This window comes from Homo sapiens, chromosome 3 (assembly GCF_000001405.40).
Source record: "Homo sapiens chromosome 3, GRCh38.p14 Primary Assembly".
Classification (NCBI taxonomy): Eukaryota; Metazoa; Chordata; class Mammalia; order Primates; family Hominidae; genus Homo; species Homo sapiens.
Genome location: NC_000003.12, coordinates 178,190,909 through 178,210,692, shown reverse-complemented (window position 1 = coordinate 178,210,692; position 19,784 = coordinate 178,190,909). Strand labels below are relative to the sequence as shown.

Here is a 19,784-nt window from a genome sequence, read left to right as displayed (position 1 = left end):
TGGTTGATAGGGCGCAGACCCTGAACTAACCTGTAAGCCTTGTCTGGTTTTAGGACAGGTAAAATGGGGGAATTGTAAGGGGAGTTTATAGGCTTTAAAAGGCCATGCTGTAGCAGGCGAGTGATAACAGACTTTAATCCTTTTAAAGCATGCTGTGGGATGGGATATTGGCATTAAGCAGGGTAAGAGTGATTAGGTTTTAATGGGATGGTAAGGGGTGCATGATCAGTCGCTAAGGAGGGAGTAGAGGTGTCCTATACTTGTGGGTTAAGGTGGGGAGATACAAGGGGAGGATGTGAAGGAGGCTTTGAACTGGGGAAAAAGGCAGCTATGAGGTGTGGCTGTAGCCCAGGAATAGTCAGGGAAGCAGATAATTTAGTTAAAGTGTCTCAGCCTAATAAGGGAGCTGGGCAGGTGGGGATAACTAAAAAGGAGTGCTTAAAAGAGTATTGTCTAAGTTGGCACCAGAATTGGGGAGTTTTAAGAGGTTTAGAAGTCTGGCCATCGGTACCCACAAGAGTTATGGAGGCAAGGGAAACAGGCCCTTGAAAAGAAGGTAATGTGGAGTGGGTAGCCTCTGTATTGATTAAGAAGGGGACAGAATTACCTTCCACTGTGAGAGTTACCCAGAAGCTTGGCATCTGTGATGGTCTAGGGGGCTTCTGAGGTGATCAGGCAGTGTCAGTCTTCAGCTGCTAAGCAGAGAAGATCTGGGAAGGAGTCAGTCAGAAAGACTTGGGCCAGAGTTCCAGGGGCTCTAGGAGTGGCTGCCGGGCGAGTTGGACAGTCCAATTTCCAGTGGGGTCCCACAGAGATGGGACAAGGCTTAGGAGGAATCCCAGGCTGCAGGCATTCCTTGGCCCAATGGCCAGATTTCTGGCACTTGTAGGAAGCTCCTGGGGGAGGCAGGCCTGGAGGAATGCCTGGCCACTGAGGTTTAGGTGTTTGGAAGTTCTTGTGTGTTGGAGATGTGGCTGGGGTTTGTCTCACAGTGGAGGCAAGGAATTGCAACTCAGAAATATGTTGCTACTTGGCTGCCTCTACTTTATTATTGTACACCTTGAAGGTGAGGTTAATTAAGTCCTGTTGTGGGGTTTGAGGGCTGGAATTTAATTTTTGGAGTTTTATTTAATGTCGGGAGCAGATTGGGTAATAAAATGTATATTGAGAATAAGATGGCCTTTAGACCTTTTAGGGTCTAGGGCTGTAAAACATCTCAGGGTTGCTGCCAAATGAGCCATGAACTGGGCTGGTTTTTTATATTTGATGAAAAAGAGCCTAAATACTATCTGATTTGGGATAAAGAAAAAGGAGCATTAACCTTGACTATGCCTTTAGCTCCAGGCACCTTTTTAAGAGGAAATTCCTGGGCAAGTGGGGGAGGGCTAGTCACTGAATGAAACTGTAAGCCAGACCAGGTGTGAGGAGGGGAGGTGATAAAAGGATTATAGGGTGGAGGATTGGAGGCTGAGGAAGAATTGGGACCTAGCTTGGCCTGGCAAGGAGGGGAGAGGTCAGATGGGTCTGTAGAAAAGGAAGATTAGAAAGAGTCAGCGATGCTTGGTGTTGGGACTGAGGGGACAGGCAGGAGGGAAAGAAGGAAGATTTGGGACGAGTTGCGTAGGGAACAGAGACTAGGGAGGGACCGATGTGTAAAAGAATACCTGGAGGTCAGGCACCTCAGACCTTGTGCCCCTTTTACAACAAGATTTAGATCTTGTAGGATGGAAAAATTGAAAGTGCCATTTTCTGGCTATTTGGAACCACTGTTGAGTTTGTATTGGGGTCAAGCGGCATTGCAGAAGAAAACAAGGCATTTAGGTTTTAGGTCAGGTGTGAGTTGAAGAGGTTTTAGGTTTTTAAGAACACAGGCTAAGGGCAAACAGGGGGAATGGAGGGTGGAAGCTTGCCCATAGTGAAGGAGGCAAGCCCAGAGAAAAGAGAGTAGAGACACAGAGAGAAGGGGTGGGGGGTTCTTGCTCCCCAGAAAAGCAGAGAAGGGTTAGAGACATGAAGATAAGGGGTCAGGGGGTTCTTGCCCCCTAGAAAAGTGGTACTTGCTGCTATGGGTGAAGGAGAAGGGGTTGGGGGGTTCTTGCCCCCCAGAAAAGCAAAGAAGAGGTAGAGACACAGAGAAGGGGCTGGGGGGGTTCTTGCCCCCCAGAAAAGCAGTGCTTGCCTATAAGGGTGAAGGAGAAGGGGTTGGGGGGTTCTTGCCCCCCAGAAAAGTGGAGAAGAGGTAGAGACATGGAGAGAAGGGGTTGGGGGGTTTTTGCCCCCCAGAAAAGTGGTACTTGCCACTAAGGGTGAAGGGGAAGGGGTTGGGGGGTTCTTGCCCCCAAGAAAAGCAGAGAAGGGGCAGGGACACAGAGGGTTGGGGAGTTCTTACCCCCCAGAAAAGTGGTACTTGCTGCTAAGGGTGAAGGAGAAGGGGTTGGGGGGGTTCTTGCCCCCCAGAAAAGCAAAGAAGGGATAGAGACACGGAGAGAAGGGGTTGGGGGATTCTTGCCCCCCAGAAAAGCAGTACTTGCCTCTAAGGGTGAAGGAGAAGGGGTTGGGGGGTTCTTGCCCCCCAGAAAAGCAAAGAAGGGGTAGAGACATGGAGAGAAGGGGTTGGGGGGTTCTTGCCCCCCAAAAAAGCAGTACTTGCCACTAAGGGTGAAGGACTAAGGCAGGTATCCCTGCGTGGTCAGACACCTCTGAAACGTGGGTGAATAATCAGGCAGGCGTGACTCAGATCAGAGGACCTCCCGTGGGAGATCAATCCCCTGTCCTGCTCTTTGTTCTGTGAGAAAGATCCACCTACGACCTCTGGTCCTCAGACCAACCAGCCCAAAGAACATCTCACCAATTTTAAATCCGAGTCACAGCACCAAATTTCAGTCGTGTCCGTGTGAAGAGACCACCAAACAGGCTTTGTGTGAGCAACAAGGCTGTTTATTTCACCTGGGTCCAGGTGGGCTGAGTCCGAAAAGAGAGGCAGCAAAGGGAGATAGGGGTGGGGCAATTTATAAGATTTGGGTAGGTAAAGGAAAATTACAGTCAAAGTGGGGTGGTTCTCTGGCAGGCAGGTGTGGGGGTCATAAGGTGCTCAGTAGGGGAGCTTTTGAGCCAGGATGAGCCAGGAGAAGGAATTTCACAAGATAATGTCATTAGTTAAGGCAGGAACAGGCCATTTTCACTTCTTTTGTGGTGGAATGTCATCAGTTAAGGCAGGAACTGGCCATCTGGATGTGTACGTGCAGGTCACAGGGGATGTGATGGCTTATCTTGGGCTCAGAAGCCTGACATTCATCACCTGGGGATTTGTTAGAAATGTGAATTTGGGGCCTCATCCCAGACCTACCAAAATCAGTTAGTACTGGAGTAGAACCCAGGTGAATCTGATGTGAACTAATGTTTGAGAACCACTGAAGTAGATAATACCTCTATTCTTTAGAAATATACTAATAAGGTCACCACAAGCCTTACTTTGTGAAATGCACGTGCAGTTTAAGGTGAGCACCACATTTTAGGCATAGGGTTGCAAGGCTAGCATTTTAGAAGCAGCCTAATTTCTCCCAGGCCATGTGCATTGATTTAGAAAGCCTTGACTGAAAAAAATGTCCCTGCTCTGACACAGGGTTCTCTCTAGTCATGGACAACTGTGAAGAGAATATGCATATGATTGAACATTTCCCCTCAAAATATGCCTCTTTATTGTGATATCATAAATATTTATGCACTTCTAATTATTAAAGTGTGCAAAATTACTGTGAAGAAAGGGACTTCATCTAACCCCAGGCTTTTCTTATTATTCTCAAAGCAGAGCCATTAACTTTCTCTAACTTTTGCTTCAGGTGTTGAAAAGCTAATTCACAGCTCCCCAGCTGCCTACTTGTGGGGACAGCTTTCTTCGGCTGCAGGCAGTAATTGCTTTACTGCTATCCTAAATTGCCCTGGAGAAGAAAGCAAAGCTTTGCTTGCTTTATCCTGTGGATTTAAAGCAGTGCCTATACTTGCTCTGCATAGAAGAGAACTTCTCCTACAGATATTTTTATTCTAATCCACGCAACACATTCCAGTTGAAACAAGATTTTGAAGACACGCCCTAGTGTACATTTTATCTGCACTGGTAATGTATTGAAGACAAATCAAGGTTTCAGGGGAAGGGTTGGGAGGGGGCAGGAACTACCTTCATTGGTTCAGGTTAGTGGAGATTAGCTTAATAGGTGTGTGGATAAAAATTCAAATTGAATTGGATGGATCAATCAAAAATATCTAAATGGATAAGAAGTATTTGATTTGGTCAAACAGGCCAGATGTAAAACCAGAAAATTTAAGTGTAACCTCTTTCCAGAACAAATCATTCTGTAGGTAAAACTAGGCACATAGAAAGATTAATAAATAGTATTTCACTAGTTCTTCTCCACTACACAGGAATGGTGTCAAATCAGACTCACAAATCTTACCAAATAGCAAGCTTTACTATTAATTTCAAGGATACAGGCAATCAAGAGGCATCTGCTTTCTCCGAAAGCAGAGAAAGCCTGAGGTATTGAGAGTAGCTACCCAGGTCCTTTACACATCAAACTTCTACCTCTGCTTTAGAATATTAAGTGATGCCTCTAAGTGAGATTTACAGGGTAAACTCTTGCAGCAGGGTGTATTTCAATGATGAAAACTCTCAAATTGTATAACCCAGTGTGGCAGAGCTTATGTAAAGTTCCCTAGGAAGCCATGCCTTACAATCCAGAGATTCCGGGTTTATTTATCAGAGGTAAAACTTTGGCCAGAAAAATCCTTTTAAGGACATTCTGAAGCTAATATCTCTTCCTTGTAGCATGGATTATTATAGTCTGTATACTTGCAGATTCAGTGGGGAAGGTGATTAGATTGGGTGACATGACTTCTTTTCTGAGAGCATACCTGATATGGTTTGGCTGTGTTCCCACCCAAATCTCATCTTGAATTCCCATGTGTTGTGGGAGGGACCCAGTGGGAGGTAATTGAATCATGGGGGCAGGTCTTTCCCATGCTGTTCTCGTGATAGTGAATAAGTCTTACGAGAGCTGATGGTTTTAAAAAGGGGAGTTTCCCTGCACAAACTCTCTTCTCTTGTCTGCCATCTTGTGAGACATGCCTTTCACCTTCCGCCATGATTGTGAGGCCTCCCCAGCCACATGGAACTAAGTCCAATAAACCTCTTTCTTTTGTAAATTGCCCCGTCTCGGGTATGTCTTTATCAGCAGCGTGAAAACAGACTAATACAGGGAGTAAGTGAATATAAGGCTAGCTGCCATAATCCTCTTCTCCCCACACCACATCCATACACACACTTGACACACACCACATCCATATACACCTTTACCAGTTCTTCCAGATAGACTTAGACATCCACAGTAGTTTTTGTTCCTCTGTGGGATTTACAACTTTTTTTCTACTCTGGTTTTCAGCAGTGATATCTGCGGCTGACCCTTGACAAGGCCAGGGCACTCATATCTATATCCACAGCAGAGGTTTTGCTTAGTGGTATCTGAGGCTTAACGGTGTTGGTGCCCATATGAAGGTGCCCCTGCCACTGCCACTGCCATTCTAAGGCAGTGACAAATTAGTTCACCCTATTGGTTTTCTTGGCCTGGGTTATAGTCAGTTTATTTGCTGGCCTCCTTCTAGTCCAAGCCCCAAGTTCTATCCCCTGCAATCTATCAACCACATTGCATTCCAAATCTTCTTCCTAAATTGCAAATGTGATTGTTCCTTTCCCAGGATTAGAAACTTATACAGGATCCCCAGTGCTGTCAGTATAAAAACTCAGACATCTTAGTCTGCATGCCGTATTTCAGAATCTGATTATGACATCCTTGTCCTGCATCACATTTTTCCACTCCACAGCAACTCCTCAGCTTTAGATCAACTGTCCCTTGTTTTCATAACTCTGTGCCATTGTAATTGCTGCTCACCCTACTGGGGATGATCTTATCTCCCTTTTTCATCCAGCCTATTCCTTTCTTATCCTACATGGTTTGGCTCAGGTATCATCTTCTCTGGAATGATTTTTTAGCCCCAGCACTCTAGAGTAGATATTCGTGTAGCAAAAAAAAGCAAAATGACATATGCTGTGTGAGATGCGTCTGTTCTCTTGTCTCTCTTACTACCCTTTGAGCAGGCATTCTATATTTTTTTTGTCTAAAATGTTGGTGTCTGGCATAGAGAAGGAATGCAAGAATGGGCGCAATGAGGAGCATAGATGGAGCTTTCCTGTGAAAGAGGAGTGTGCCATCTTTTCCTCAGAGACTGTAGGAGAAGTGTAGCTATGGATTTGTTTGGCAATTGGAAAGGAAATTTGAGGTAGCTCATGCCTGGTATTGATACTGAGGTAGTGGGCTATTTTTTGAGAGTGAATATTGGGATAAGGACTTGAAGATAACATTTTGAGTATGCAATAAGGATGGAATAAGTTGCTGATCAAAGATAAATAAAAGCATTTATGAGAAGCAAGATTCTCCAAGGTAGATTGCAGATGGTAACTTTGGGAAGCAACAGAGGTGATAAGAAAATTTCTCTTGTGATATTTAGTTGAACTTGTATAGAAGCAGCTGACTGATCTGGGACTGGAGCAGGGTACGGCTTTGTGGAGTTTGTATAGTGGGAGCACAAAGGACTGAGGGAATTATGGAGATGGGTAGGAGAATGGTTGAAATCCTAGCACAGGGAGCTTAGCCTGGAGTAGGAAGGATCAGAGGCCAACAGAAGGCTTATAAATTGTGAGAAAAGTGTGGAGTCACTTTACATCCTTGGCTTTTACTGTGGTTAAACAACATAAACTCTCATTGCCAAGAAAAGTCATAAGATTTCCCCAATATGGAAACTGTGTCATCCACATCGATGTCAGAGATCTACTTTGAATATTATGAAATCTTTAATGTAAAAGAAGAATAACAAGACTTTCATTCCATGGGTAGGAGTATAGGGGGAGCTGGAACTAAAATTAGTTCTCACTAAAAAGATTGTTAACATCCTTTAAATCTAGTTGTTCTTTTAGCTATCTGGGCGTTATCAGGAACAGAGAGCTACAAAAATGATAAATCTTTCTCCCATTCAATATTATTTTCTTTGATTTCTGGTATTCCAGTTCTCTTGTCTCTTGTGCTCATTCTCATTGTAGACCAAGGGCTCTGGCTGCTAAATTGCTTGCCCAACACACTGTGTAGCAAAAGATTAAAAGGTAATTGGATCAAAAATTTCACAGGAAAAACACCAAAATGAAACATCTCTCTGTTAGGCCTACCCCCAGGAGGAAGACTGGGATTAAGTGAGCCACAAATAGTACATGACGACCTCACCAAATGCTGCATTACTGATCCTGACTAAGACGGTTATATAATAAGGAGAAGCTGCTTTACTTGTGATGAAAGGAAAAAAAGGAACTGTTCACACTCTCCCATCTCATATGCCAGACTTAATCAGAGAGTTGTTTTGATCCTCATAAACAGGGTTGATTTTTAATCTGGTACTTGGGGACTTTTTAGGATCTTTATAGGCCCAAAATATTCTTATTTTTGAAAACCTCCCATTCATATTATATCAACTAAAATGCATGAAAGTCCCAGATTATGTCAAATTTGCATATTTATTTATATAATAATTATTGCAGTTGTTTAATATGTTATATATATATTTTTTTCTTGAGACAGAGTCTTGCTCTGTCACCCAGGATGGTGAGATCTTGGCTCACTGCAACCTCCGCCTCCCAGGTTCAAGCGATTCTCCTGCCTCAGCCTCCTGAGTAGCTGGGACAACAGGCACATGCCACTGTGCCTAGCTAATTTTTGTATTTTTAGTAGAAATGGGGTTTTATCATGTTGGCCAGGCTGGTCTGAAACTCCTGACTTCAAGTGATCTGCCCGCCTCAGCCTCCCAAACTGCTGTGATTATAGGTGTGAGCCACCGCTCCCAGCCATATTTTATCATTATTTAATTAAAATACTTATTACCTTTAGTTTTGCAACATTTTACTATTTGTAACTAGTAATATATTTTCAGGTCTTAAATTTTTTTTGACTCTTAAAAAGTTCATAGATCATGGGCATTGTGCCTGATGAAAACAATAGATGAAGGGGCCTGATCACACAGTGAAAATTTGACTCTTGGAGAAGATACCATAAGAGGAAGTCATAGCCTCCCAGAATTAGTTCAGGTCCAAACTTTGCACCTAACCCCTGTGACCCAGGCAGGACTCTGTATCTCTCTCAGTCTCACTCATCAGTGCCTCCACCAAGCTGCTTTTCTCCGCATTTGCATTTGGTAGAACAGATAATCAGGCAAATACAATAAAGCGATAACACTTATGAAAGGCATAATAGGTTGCTATGGAAACAAATAGACGGGGCAGGAAGTTCAAGGAAGTCATTCTTTTCCCTTTGCAAAAAAAGATAATATTCAGTCTTCCTTTTTTTTTTTCCACAGGCCTCATGAGGAAAATCAAATAAGATTATCTTACATTACAAAATTTTCTTGCATACTTTATGCAACAGTGGAAACAACACAGGATTGGAATTAGAAGACCTGGTTTTAAATACCAAATTGTTCCCCAGAATGATCTGATCCTACTGCTTAGCCTATCTGGATGTCAGTTTCTACATCTCTAAAAGGAAGGTGTGCTGGGTTGAATAGTGTACAAATTCATATCTGTCTACAATCTGTGGGTGTGACCTTATTGGGAAATGGGATCTTTTCAGAAGTAATCAAATTAAGATGAGATCATACTGGCTTAGAGTATGCCCTCATCTAATAACTGGTGTCATTACATTTGGATACAGACACACAGAGGAGAATGCTATCTGAAGATGGAGGCAGAGATTGAAGTGATGCATCTACAGGGATTGCTGGCCGCCACCACAAGCTAGAAGAAGCAAGGGAGGATTATTCCCTAGAGCCTTTGGATGGAGCAAGGCTAGTCTACACCTTGATTTTAGACTTCTAGCCACTAAAACAATGGGAAGATAAATTTCTGTTGTTTGAGGCTACCCAGTTTCTGGCAATATGTTATGGCAGCTCCAGGAAACTAACATAGGGTGTTAACAATAGAACTTACCTGACAGTGGTTTGACATCAAGTCTAGTGAGGCCTGGCCTGGTAAGGTGGGAATTAGCAGAAGTGCATTGTTCCAGAATCCTGAGATTCTGGGACATTCATTGTGAACCAGCCATATATATTATATACCTCTGTCTGCCTTATTCATCATATCCTCTCACTTCCAATGTTTCTCTATCAGCTTCCAATCACCATGTTATTCATTGATTTGTCATTTATAGCTTCCATTCTTAAGAATCAGTGATTTGATTTTTTTTTTTTTGGATTGGCCATCAGAGTCTTTGTCACAGTGCATTGTCCCAGTTGGCCAGGATAGGCATCCTAGCGTTTAAAAAAAAAAAAAAAAAAGTACTTTGGATATTGTAAATCTCCAGGTAAATGTTAGTTATTTGGATTAAAAAGTTACTTATATACAAAGTAGAAAATGGAAGTAATATGTGCATCCAAGCAGAGACACAGTGGAAAATGTATTGGCTTTTGGTCCCAACACTGCAACTGGCTAACACAACCACGTCATGTGACCAGTTGGTGCTTGCCCTTCCTGGTGTATAGAATGAAGGAAAAGAGGTGGGATACATCGAGGTCACCTCTAGCTCCAATATCACCTGAACTCTGTTAATCTGAATTTTGGGAGGTATGGTTTTTATGAGTATTCACAGAACTCTATTTTAAATGTTGCCTTTTCTAATACAAAATTCACTTTTAAGGTAATTTAGAAAAGTGATTAAAAACCAGAACTTTGAAGTTATAAAGTCCAAGTCTTGAGTCCAAGATTCTTTACTTCAAGATGCATGATGCTACAAAGTGTGGCCAATTCTAAATCATGGCCTCTAAGTGTTTTTACGCTTCTCTCATCATGTGGTGGGGTCTTTGTCTCCTATTGAATCTGGGCTCTGTGACTAATAGAATGCTATGCAAATGACACTATGCCGGTTACAAGACCCAGGCTTTAAAAAACTGGTATCACTCACTTCTTGTCTCTTCGAATGCTCACTCTTGGTATCCAGCTGCCATGATCTGAGAAAACCAAGCAACCCATTGAGAAGTTGCATATAGTCATTTGATCCAAGAGCCCCACTTGAGGATCACATGCCAGTATCAGCCATCGGGCATGTGAGTGTGTGAGCATTCAGATGATTCTAGCTTCCAGCCATCACGTTCCCCCGATCTTTGAGTCATCCATCCTAGTTGACACTGCTTGGAGCATATGTGGGCTGTCCCTACCAAACACTGCCCAAATGGTACATTTTTGAGCAAACTAATTGTTCTTTTTTACACTAAGTTCAGGGTGGTTTGTTACACAGCAATATATAACTGGAATTGTAAATTATTTCTTTAAGCTCCAGAGTCTTCATCTGTAAAATAAAAAAAAAGATCTTTATCATGGAGTTATGCAGATTAAATGAAATGATGCACTCAAAGCACAGAATATCTAACATTTTTAGATCCAATTGATGTTAGCCACTTAATGGCTTACATCTTATACTTGATGTTTTAATTTTTTTTGACTGATATCATGGGCTTTCAAAAGCCTGATAACGCTGGCTGACTAAAATAGAACCCAGACAAGAAAAGTAGATGTGATAGCAATGAGGAGTAGAAAATTGATAGCTAAGCCAGTCATTCTATCCTTCTCTCCCTTTTTTCTGTTTTCAGTAGAATCCAAGAAGACTCTAAAACCTCCAGTACTCATGAAGAGATGAGTTTGCTCATTATCAATCTCATTGATCCTTAGCATCGGAGCTGAGAGGGAGCCAGGATGTTCATCACACTGTGTAAATGGCCTCTGTGAAGAACTTCCTGGGGTATGGTCCAGCTTCCTGGAATGGTACTTTCCTCAAAAATGTGTCTGATTCTGTTTTCTGGGGCATACAGCTGGAAAGCAGGCCTTGATGGGAGATGAACCTGGGTGGTCAGTTTGGCTGGAGAATCAGTACTCTTAACCTAGGGTTAGAGAACCTAGTAAGCTAGAGCTGTGAAAGTGAAATATCCCTTAGATACAGTTTCACATACCATGTGTGTTAAGAAAATATATCCTGTTAAGGAACTAAAATAGTGAACCACAGAGGAGGTTATTTCAAAATGGAAGGAAGAACCCCTGAAGCAGTATTGCCACTTAGTCTAAAAGTGTAAATTGTCATCTTGAAGCAAGTGGTTCCTGAATTATTATTTCTATAAACCTACAGAATGAAATGGGTATATCCATTGTCAGAGGAGTGAGGGAAAGGACCCCCATGTCAGAAAGGGCTCATCTGGACTGGGCACGGTGGCTCACGCCTGTAATCCCAGCACTTTGGGAGGCCAAGGCGGGCAGATCACAAGGTCACGAGGTCAGGAGATTGAGACCATCCTGGCTAACACGGTGAAACCCCGTCTCTACTAAAAATACAAAAAAAAAAAAAAAAAAAGCCAGGCGTGGTGGCAGGCGCTTGTACTGCCAGCTACTCGGGAGGCTGAGGCAGAGAATTGCTTGAACCTGGGAGGCGGAGGTTGCAGTTGAGCTGAGATCATGCCACTGCACTCCAGCCTGGGCAACAGAGTGAGACTCCATCTCAAAAAAAAAAAAAAAAACAAAGGGCTCATCTGGACCTAAATCAAGACTGTAACCTAAATTCTCTGCAACTTGAAGGGAGCAGATATATGACAGGGATAACAGTTTAAATTTTGAAAGGAAGTCTCAATAGTTACAAGTTCCTTACTTGCTGCCCTCTATTTTCCCATAGGAAAATTCTTCAAATCAAAGGCAGAGGGTAAGGAAGAAAATGAGAACTGAAACTGCTCCAATCCCAGCTAGGAGAGAGGAAGAACTGTAAAGAAACCCCCCAAATTACATTGTAGAATTATTTTTCCCTATGGTATTAGGTTGATCCCCCTTTCCTGGCCACCAGCAGCCCCTTTCCACACTTCTAGGAGCACCAGGATCAATTACCATTCATTGTTATTTCATGTGCATAGACAACAGAACTTGCTGCTGTCATAAAAGTAAAGGAACAGATTTCTTAAATTGCTACTTGAAGGAGCTCTTCTATATCAGTGCCATTAAATTAAATTTCTGCTCTGTATAATGCATAAAAATGGCTTGTGAATTTTTTTTCCTTGGGTGACTCATTTTGTTTGAACTCCAAAGCAATTCCTCAGAAACGGAAAGAGGCTATTTAAAAATGAGCTGTGAGATTGTCATTAAAAATCATTTTTTTTAAAGCAAAGGAGGTCTCTCCTAGCACCAAATGATAAAATACAAATTTGAGAATCCTGAACTCAGTTCTCAAAGGTATCACCTTTGAAAAGGAAGTTTAAAAAATATTAAGTAACCTTTTAAAAAGTAATTTTAAGGAAGTGAAGAAATAAGAATAAAATCTTAATTTTTAAGTGAAAAACTTTACTTTTTCTTAAGAGAAGAGTTTCTTGGTACCTCTTTCTGTCTTTTGTTTTTGTTTTTGTTTTTGAGACGGAGTCTCGCTCTGTCGCCCAGGCTGGAGTGCAGTGGCGCCATCTCCACTCACTGCAAGCTCCGCCTCCTAGGTTCAGGCCATTCTCCTGCCTCAGCCTCCCGAGTAGCTGGGACTACAGGCGCCCACCACCACGCCCAGCTAAATTTTTCTATTTTTAGTAGAGAGGGGGTTTCACTGTGTTAGCCAGGATGGTCTCCATCTCCTGACCTCGTGATCCACCCGCCTCGGCCTCCCAAAGTGCTGGGATTACAGGCCTGTGAGCCACCACACCCGGTACCTCTTTCTTATATTCCATTTAAGAAATTATTAGCATTGCACAGCAAAATGTAATGCCTCTTATTTTAAAGAAAAAAACCTCAGTGTAAACTATGCTTTTTCTGTCTTTGTGGTCGGTATTTAAATATTTTAATCTTTTTATTAGGCTTTAAGGTCTTTGAGATATTCTGATGGCAGAGTACAAAGTTAAAGGTTACCAATAGAATTCAAATTGTGTAGTTTTTCTCAATAAAAATCTATTCTCTCTTTCTTCAAAATATCATTAGAAAATGTCACCTGGAGGGAAGGTCTTGGACTATTAGAGAGAACTTCAAATTCTAGGCTTTATACTATGAATTCCTTCCCTAGTTTACTATCTTCAGGCACCAACCCATTCCCGCTTCTTCAACTTCCTCCAACTCTCTAGAAAGACTTTCTCATGAAATTATTCCATAAGGCCTCAATCATTTTATTCACTTTTTATTTTAAATAGAAATACCTCTGTAAAGAGTGAGACTTTAGGTGAATGACTTTCCAGCATAATTTTTTTCTCAGCTGCATTAAAAGGTAAAAGGAAATCTTTTCTGGAATTGTAACTAGGAGAAGCAGATCAGATGAGAACTGTTTGGGGAGATGCAGGAGGGAGGAGGGAGATGTCAGGTCACTTGCTGTCTACCTCACATCACACAGCCCCAGGGAAGGGCCTGCTAGCCCAGATTAAATCCTAGAGTCTGCAGAGATGAAAATAACATTGACTCAAATCCTTTTGTTTGTAATAGAAATCCTTCTTTCCAATCATTCTGGAAATGCTCGAGGAGGTGAGGTATATTCATGTGTTTCTTAGTCACTTCTAGTTTAAAAGTCTGTTTCCTTTGGATCAATTCAATTCATGGATCATCTCACCTTTGCCCACCAGCTATTTGTGTTCTGCCTACTGTAGGTTTGCCTAGCCATTTTCTTCATTTCCACACACGATAAAAACATAAAAAGCCTTGGTGTGCTGGTTTTATAACACAATAATGTGAACAGCTTAAGAATGAATATTAGCTGTCTCAGTTTTTTAAAAGTATCTGTTTTTTCTGCCAACTTGGATACTGGCTTTTCTCCAGTCTGTTTTCCTCTTCTCCTGCCTCCTGAATTTCTCCGTCACCTCAGCACCTCATTTTTTTTGAAGAATAGTTTAGTTGTATCCTTCCTATTCTTTCTGGCCTCACATTTCTTTCTCAAACACTGAGCCATATGTATTCTTTTCTCAGAATAAACTCTGGTGCCAGCTTATAAAATAATACCCTTTTCAATTTATGAAATTATTTCTGTCTCAGCACAAATCATCCGAGGAAAGGTTTTAAGCTTAGGGTGGCAAGGAGAAAGATATAACGTCCATATTAGAATGACGTGTGTGGCAAGTAGAGGGTAAACAGAGTAGGAAGGGGTTTCAGTGTCCCTAGAATATGCATGTTACACAGCACAACACAGCTTAGACTTGTCCCTGCTCTCTGCAACCATTCTCTATTTTCCATGTCTCCATGAACACAAGTTCTTGATTCCAAGTGTTTTTTTTTTTAAACCAAAATTTTGGCCTTGCACATTCTATTTTATTGCTGTTTCCAGATTCCCAAATTATGCCTTTCAGAATTACTTTTGTCACCACTTCTCTACCAGCTAATAATATTTTCTCTATATAAATTATTGAATTAATGACTCAGGATTATAATCGCCTGTGAATTGTATGGTATTTAATTTCTTTTCCAGCAGGTAAGAGTAGAATAAAGAGAATGTAATAAGTTACATGCAGTCACAAAATGAGTCATTAGAATCAGAGACAGAATTTGGACACTGAAGACACAAGTCCTGCTTCTCAGTAGTCCTGTTGGCTGCATAATAATTTAACCTTCATGCAAAACAGCTGAATCATACTGTTCTCTTCTGTGTCATGCGTCCCATTTAGACAGGCTTCCCTGCCTTGCCTTCTTCTTTGTAATTCTTTTATCTTTCTGTCTCTTTGTCTGTCTGGTTTATGTATTTATCTAAATAATTTTTTTAAGTTTACAAATATTTCAGGAACTCTCTTACATGGTGGTTGAATGCTGATCGTTTCAAAGGAGTTGAAATGATCCCACCCTAAATAGCAAAGTACTACAATATTATTCTTGCCTAGAAGCTGCCCATGTGTATTAATTTAACTTAAGGTCATTGTGGGTGCTTTTTAACTTTAGGTTACTTGAGCTAAAGAGACTTTTCTTGAAAGAAAGTTTGGCAAGAGGAATTGGAGTAATACTTATTGGAACCTTCAGTAATTGGGGAAAGGTAGGGAAGGAAGAACTGAATTAGAAAAAAACCCACACTCAAAATGTGCCAAACCAAGATTTGATTAATTCAAAAGTTTACTTGGAGGTATATTTATTTCTGAATCTCAATTTCTATTTGTTATAGTTCCATGAAAAGTATTATCTATCAATATATGCCCTTATTACTCAGGAAGCAAATGGAATGACTGGCTTTCAGAAGGTGAGATCAGAGAGAACATTCAAGGTAAGAGTCAATAAATAAAATGCATTAGCATACAGCTAACGAAATGATGTGAAATAGGACATCTAGGAAGAGAGGTGGTCAGCTGTGAAGAGGGTGGATTGGAAGTCAGAGGGCCTCATTGTTCTCATGATAATGAACACATGGTGGTCATGGATACCAGGTCAGGTCAGGCTTCATTGTGAAGCTCTAATTAGATGACGGATGGGAAAGAATCATAAGCCCTATGTGTATATGGCATTTCTTCCCCCTCAAATATTACCTTGTACTGGTGTATTACCAATCAATGTCTTGTAAGTTAGGCAAGTTGGCCACTGCCATAGGTTCTCACCAGGTTGAGTTACCAGGCAGAATATAGGAAGCCCAGTTAAGTTTGAATTTTAGACAAGTAACGAATACTTTTTTAGTCTAACTATGCTCTAAATTATTCATTGTTTATCTGGAATTCAAATGTAACCAGACATTCTAAATTTTATTTGCTGTCTGGCGTTCTTACCACCAGAGAAAATATATTTGGTTAAGAGCTAACTGTCAGCATTGCATCTCGGAAACCTGATGTGGGCAGAGACAGTTAGCCAAGTCATTCATTATTTGTTAGAAATAGAGCTGTCAAGAGAGCCAGATATCCATATCATGTTATCTGTTAAATATGAAGCCATTTTAAACACCCAGTGGTTTCTTGACAAGCAACTTCTTCCCTACTATAGGCATGCCAAGCCAAGGAATTGGCAGTGTTTAGCTGCCTGGGACAGGCACTGCCAACATTTGCTTCTATAATTCTTCTTTTTCTCAGTCTTCGTGGATGATTAACCCACCAACCGTCTTCTGACTTATACATCATATTTTAGATTTAAAATTGCCATGTAATTCAGTACAATACATTTTTGCCCACCTTAAAACAACCCTGTCTCTTAAATTTGATCCTACATATCCCTGTTATATCCTAACTTTAAAGTTTAACCTTTTATTTTAATCTTATTTTGTATTATTTAATTTCCATGAAAGCAATCTTCCCATGGTGCATATACTAGAAACAGGTGCCAGTTATATGAAGAAAAGACACACCAAAACAGAAGGAAACTTTTTCAGAGGTTCAAGTAAAATATAAGTAAAAAAAAAAAGGCATTTTGAGAATTTAAGATCAATTTTTTTCTGCCCTACTTACTTCAAAGGAGTAAAGGAAGACACAATTCTACTCCTTTAATAAATAGTCTGCATCAGAAACCCTACAACCTGATCTGAAACTCAGGAAACAGGTAAAGCCATAAGCAGGAAGATGATTAAGAGTTTCTTTAGAAGTCCTGCCAAGACAAATCTCTGCAGTCAAAGTGGAATCATTAGTGGCCTCCTCGACCTCAAAGTCTTCAGAGAAAGTAGGAACAGTGGGTTTATTAGGTAATTCTCTCTATAGAAGGGAAGGTGTTTTTTTTTTTCTCTATATTCTTGACAGGCAATTGTACTTAATGGACAAATTTATCCAATAGACAAAACCTATCTCATTGTAAACTCTGAGTGTGCCTCATGGGCTAGTTCAGCCAAGTTTAGGAGATTACCAAAAGCTTAGCCATCCACATAGCACAGCAGATTTTCACAATTGAGACTGGGATTTTTAATCAAAGTAAGATCCTTTTCATTGAAAACTCCTATATAACTTTTGGAAATCTACACAAATAGTGCAATAATTAGAAAATAATAATGTTATGACAGAAATTATAATCATATATGGCTGTGTTTCTACTTTTACATTATTTCTGCATCCCCAATTCTTTGTTTTTAAAAAATGTTTCTAAATTGTTCTCAAATGATAGCACAAATTCACAAAATGTTGTGAGAAAATGAAAAATAAGAACTACTTAGAAAAGATTTTAATTCAAAAGAAATAATAGTTGAAAATAAATCCATTTTAAATTATAAGGCTTCTTAAAATGTATTCTCAGTGGACTAAAGCAATAGATATCAGCTATATAAAGGCCACACTTTCCTCTTAACGGTTTAGACAACTCAGAAGTTCACATAAAAACCATTTCTTAGTGTCACTAATATTTTATTTAATTTCCTATAGCAGAAAAAAAAAGCAGAGGAAATTATTCTGATGAAAACCAAAGACTTCCGACACTTTTATAGCATTAAAATTTATGGACACTAGAAATCTTTAATTTTACATGATTTCTTTTTTCTTTCCTCCCTCGTTTCCTTCTTCTCCACCCCTCCACTTTCTCTCAATCTCTTTTTTTCTTTTTTTTATGGTTAGAATTTTATGTCTTTGACAAAAATTTTATGACTTTTAAGAAGTCTTTGATACCCTAAAGAAATGAAGACATTCTCCTATATTTTCTAAACACTTTATGGTTTTACCTCTCACATTTTGGTCTTTAATTCAGCTGGAATTGATTTGCATGTGTGGTGGGAGGTAGAAGCCCAATTTTATTTCTTCTACATGGACACCCAATTTTCAGAAATGTTTCTTTTGATCTGCGGTGCCACCTTAGTGTTTTCATATATGATATACATTTCATATATTAAGTGTCCATGCTTATGTGGGTCTGTTTTATCACTGTTATGCTCCTCAGGTCTATCTGATTATCTTTATCTTAGTTACAGTGGTTTTAAGATCATTTTTCATATCCAAAAAGCCTGTTTTCCCAATTTGTTATTTAACAGTAGTTTAGCTGTTTTCATCTCTGTCTTTCTGCCTCTCTCTCTCTCTCTCCATCTCTGTGTGTGTATTTATTTACTTATATCTTAGTTGGTCAAACTTAAAAAATCAAACTTAGGGATTTTATTGGGATTGGAATAAATCTATATATACATTTGTGTAAAATTGACATATTTACACGTATCTTCCAATTCATGAATATGGTATATCTCTTCATTTATTTAGGTCATTTAAAATGTCACTCTATAAAATATATAATTTTTTTCATAAGGGTTAGATGTTTTCTGGTGCATTATGTTTTAAAAATGTCTTCCTAACTGAAATATTTTTGTTTGAGTTTTTATTTTTTAAATCTTGTACCTATGTATAAACAATTTGCTTTTGTATATTATTTGTGAAGCAACATTTTTATCTTCCCTTCTTCTAATTTATCTATCTACTTAATTTATATCTGCAAACTATTGCCTTCAAATAATTAAAATTTTGTTGCTTTCTCTCCCCACCCCAACCACTATAGCTTATAGTTCTTTTTATTTCTCTACTACACTGTTTAGGTTCTCCAATAAAATGATGAGTAGCATTAGTCATAGTAGAAACCCTTTTATATTTTTGATCTAAAAAAGAAAGCTATTATTATCTCTCTAAGTACATTGTTGCTATAGGTTTTTAAGATATTCTTTATCAAATTGAGGACATTTTTTCTCTTCTATTTGCTAAGATATTTTAAATCCATGAATACATATTAAATTTTTAAAGTTTTTTTCTTCATTTTGTAATTAATAATATAATTGTGGCATTATATATTCTTATATATAACTATATATTTCTAAATAAACAATTATAGTGTATAATTATTTTCCTTAATATTTTAATATAGCAAATAACATTAATTGCTATTCATGTGTTAAGTCTACCTTGTAGTCCTGAGATACAAAACTTGATGATTTTGTGTTATCCTCTCTACATGTTGCTGAATTTTTCTTGCTAAGTTTTTGCTCAGAATTTTAACATCTATGTATATGAGTGACTAAACCATGATTTTCTTATCATGACTTTGTAAAGGTTGAGATTAAACTATTGCTCATCTCATAACAAAAATAGGGAGTTGTTTTTGTGTATTTCTCCCAGAAGCGGTCTCTGAGACTTGAATTCAAATGCAAAAATGTGATTTGAGAGGAGCAGAGGAAATACTGGCAGGGAAATGGGCAAGAAATATAGGTAAGACGAAACAGTCCGTAAAGGGCAATGTTATTAAGGCAGCTTTCACAATGGGCAACTAAAATTTAATTCTGCACCAAAAATCTAGGAAACAGTTTTATATACAAATCAGAATTATACAACTCCAGGTCCAGGGAGTTGTATAAATATAAATATTACTTGTTTAAATATTCCCATCAGTCATTGCTTGAGGGCTGCCGGGGAAATGGGGTGTGGTGGAGGTGGAGGATGTTAATTCCCTGACATTTCTGGATGATCAGACACCTGGGGAAAATCTTCTAGAAGAGGCCCCAAGCACAGAGATAAATGTACTCAGTTGGAAGTGGTTCAGGGCACTCTGACCTGATAAAGTTTTTGGAATATTGGTGAGACTCTAACTGCTTCTCCTAGGAGATTGCTTTTTATTGTTGTTTTTGTTTGTTTGTTTGTTTTTTCCAACATTACAGAAGAGTTTTAGAGGTTTTTAAGAGAATTTTGGGTAGAACTTTCCAGGAAAGTCATCTAGGTATAGAGTTTTCTTTGTGAATTCTTTACAGTTATGAATTCAACTCTTTAATAGTTATAAGATTAAGTAAATTTTTTCTTAACTCTTAAGTCAA

General features: G+C 39.5%; 1 long non-coding RNA gene across 1 annotated transcript in view, besides 2 other annotated features; it reads left to right on the top strand.

Annotated features, from left to right (window-relative positions):
* The window catches only part of LOC105374235 (uncharacterized), a 221,596-nt gene that overhangs the window by 174,601 nt on the left and 27,211 nt on the right, over positions 1-19,784 (top strand). Inside the window, exons 6-10 of the long non-coding RNA NR_188692.1 lie at positions 3,840-4,114; positions 8,449-8,637; positions 8,802-8,934; positions 10,735-10,880; positions 15,216-15,314. This is a non-coding gene — a long non-coding RNA (uncharacterized LOC105374235). The remainder of the gene's footprint in view (positions 1-3,839; positions 4,115-8,448; positions 8,638-8,801; positions 8,935-10,734; positions 10,881-15,215; positions 15,315-19,784) is intronic.
* Positions 2,829-3,485: an enhancer, noted in NCBI's record as "NANOG-H3K27ac hESC enhancer chr3:177924996-177925652 (GRCh37/hg19 assembly coordinates)". NCBI's record gives its function as "activates a minimal SCP1, AML or CMV promoter by ChIP-STARR-seq in naive H9 embryonic stem cells {active_cell/tissue: H9 hESC(naive)}" and the evidence as "EXISTENCE:reporter gene assay evidence [ECO:0000049][PMID:30033119]".
* Positions 8,178-8,472: a silencer, noted in NCBI's record as "tiled region #14541; HepG2 Repressive non-DNase unmatched - State 24:Quies". NCBI's record gives its function as "represses a minimal TATA promoter and a strong SV40 promoter by Sharpr-MPRA in HepG2 cells {active_cell/tissue: HepG2}" and the evidence as "EXISTENCE:reporter gene assay evidence [ECO:0000049][PMID:27701403]".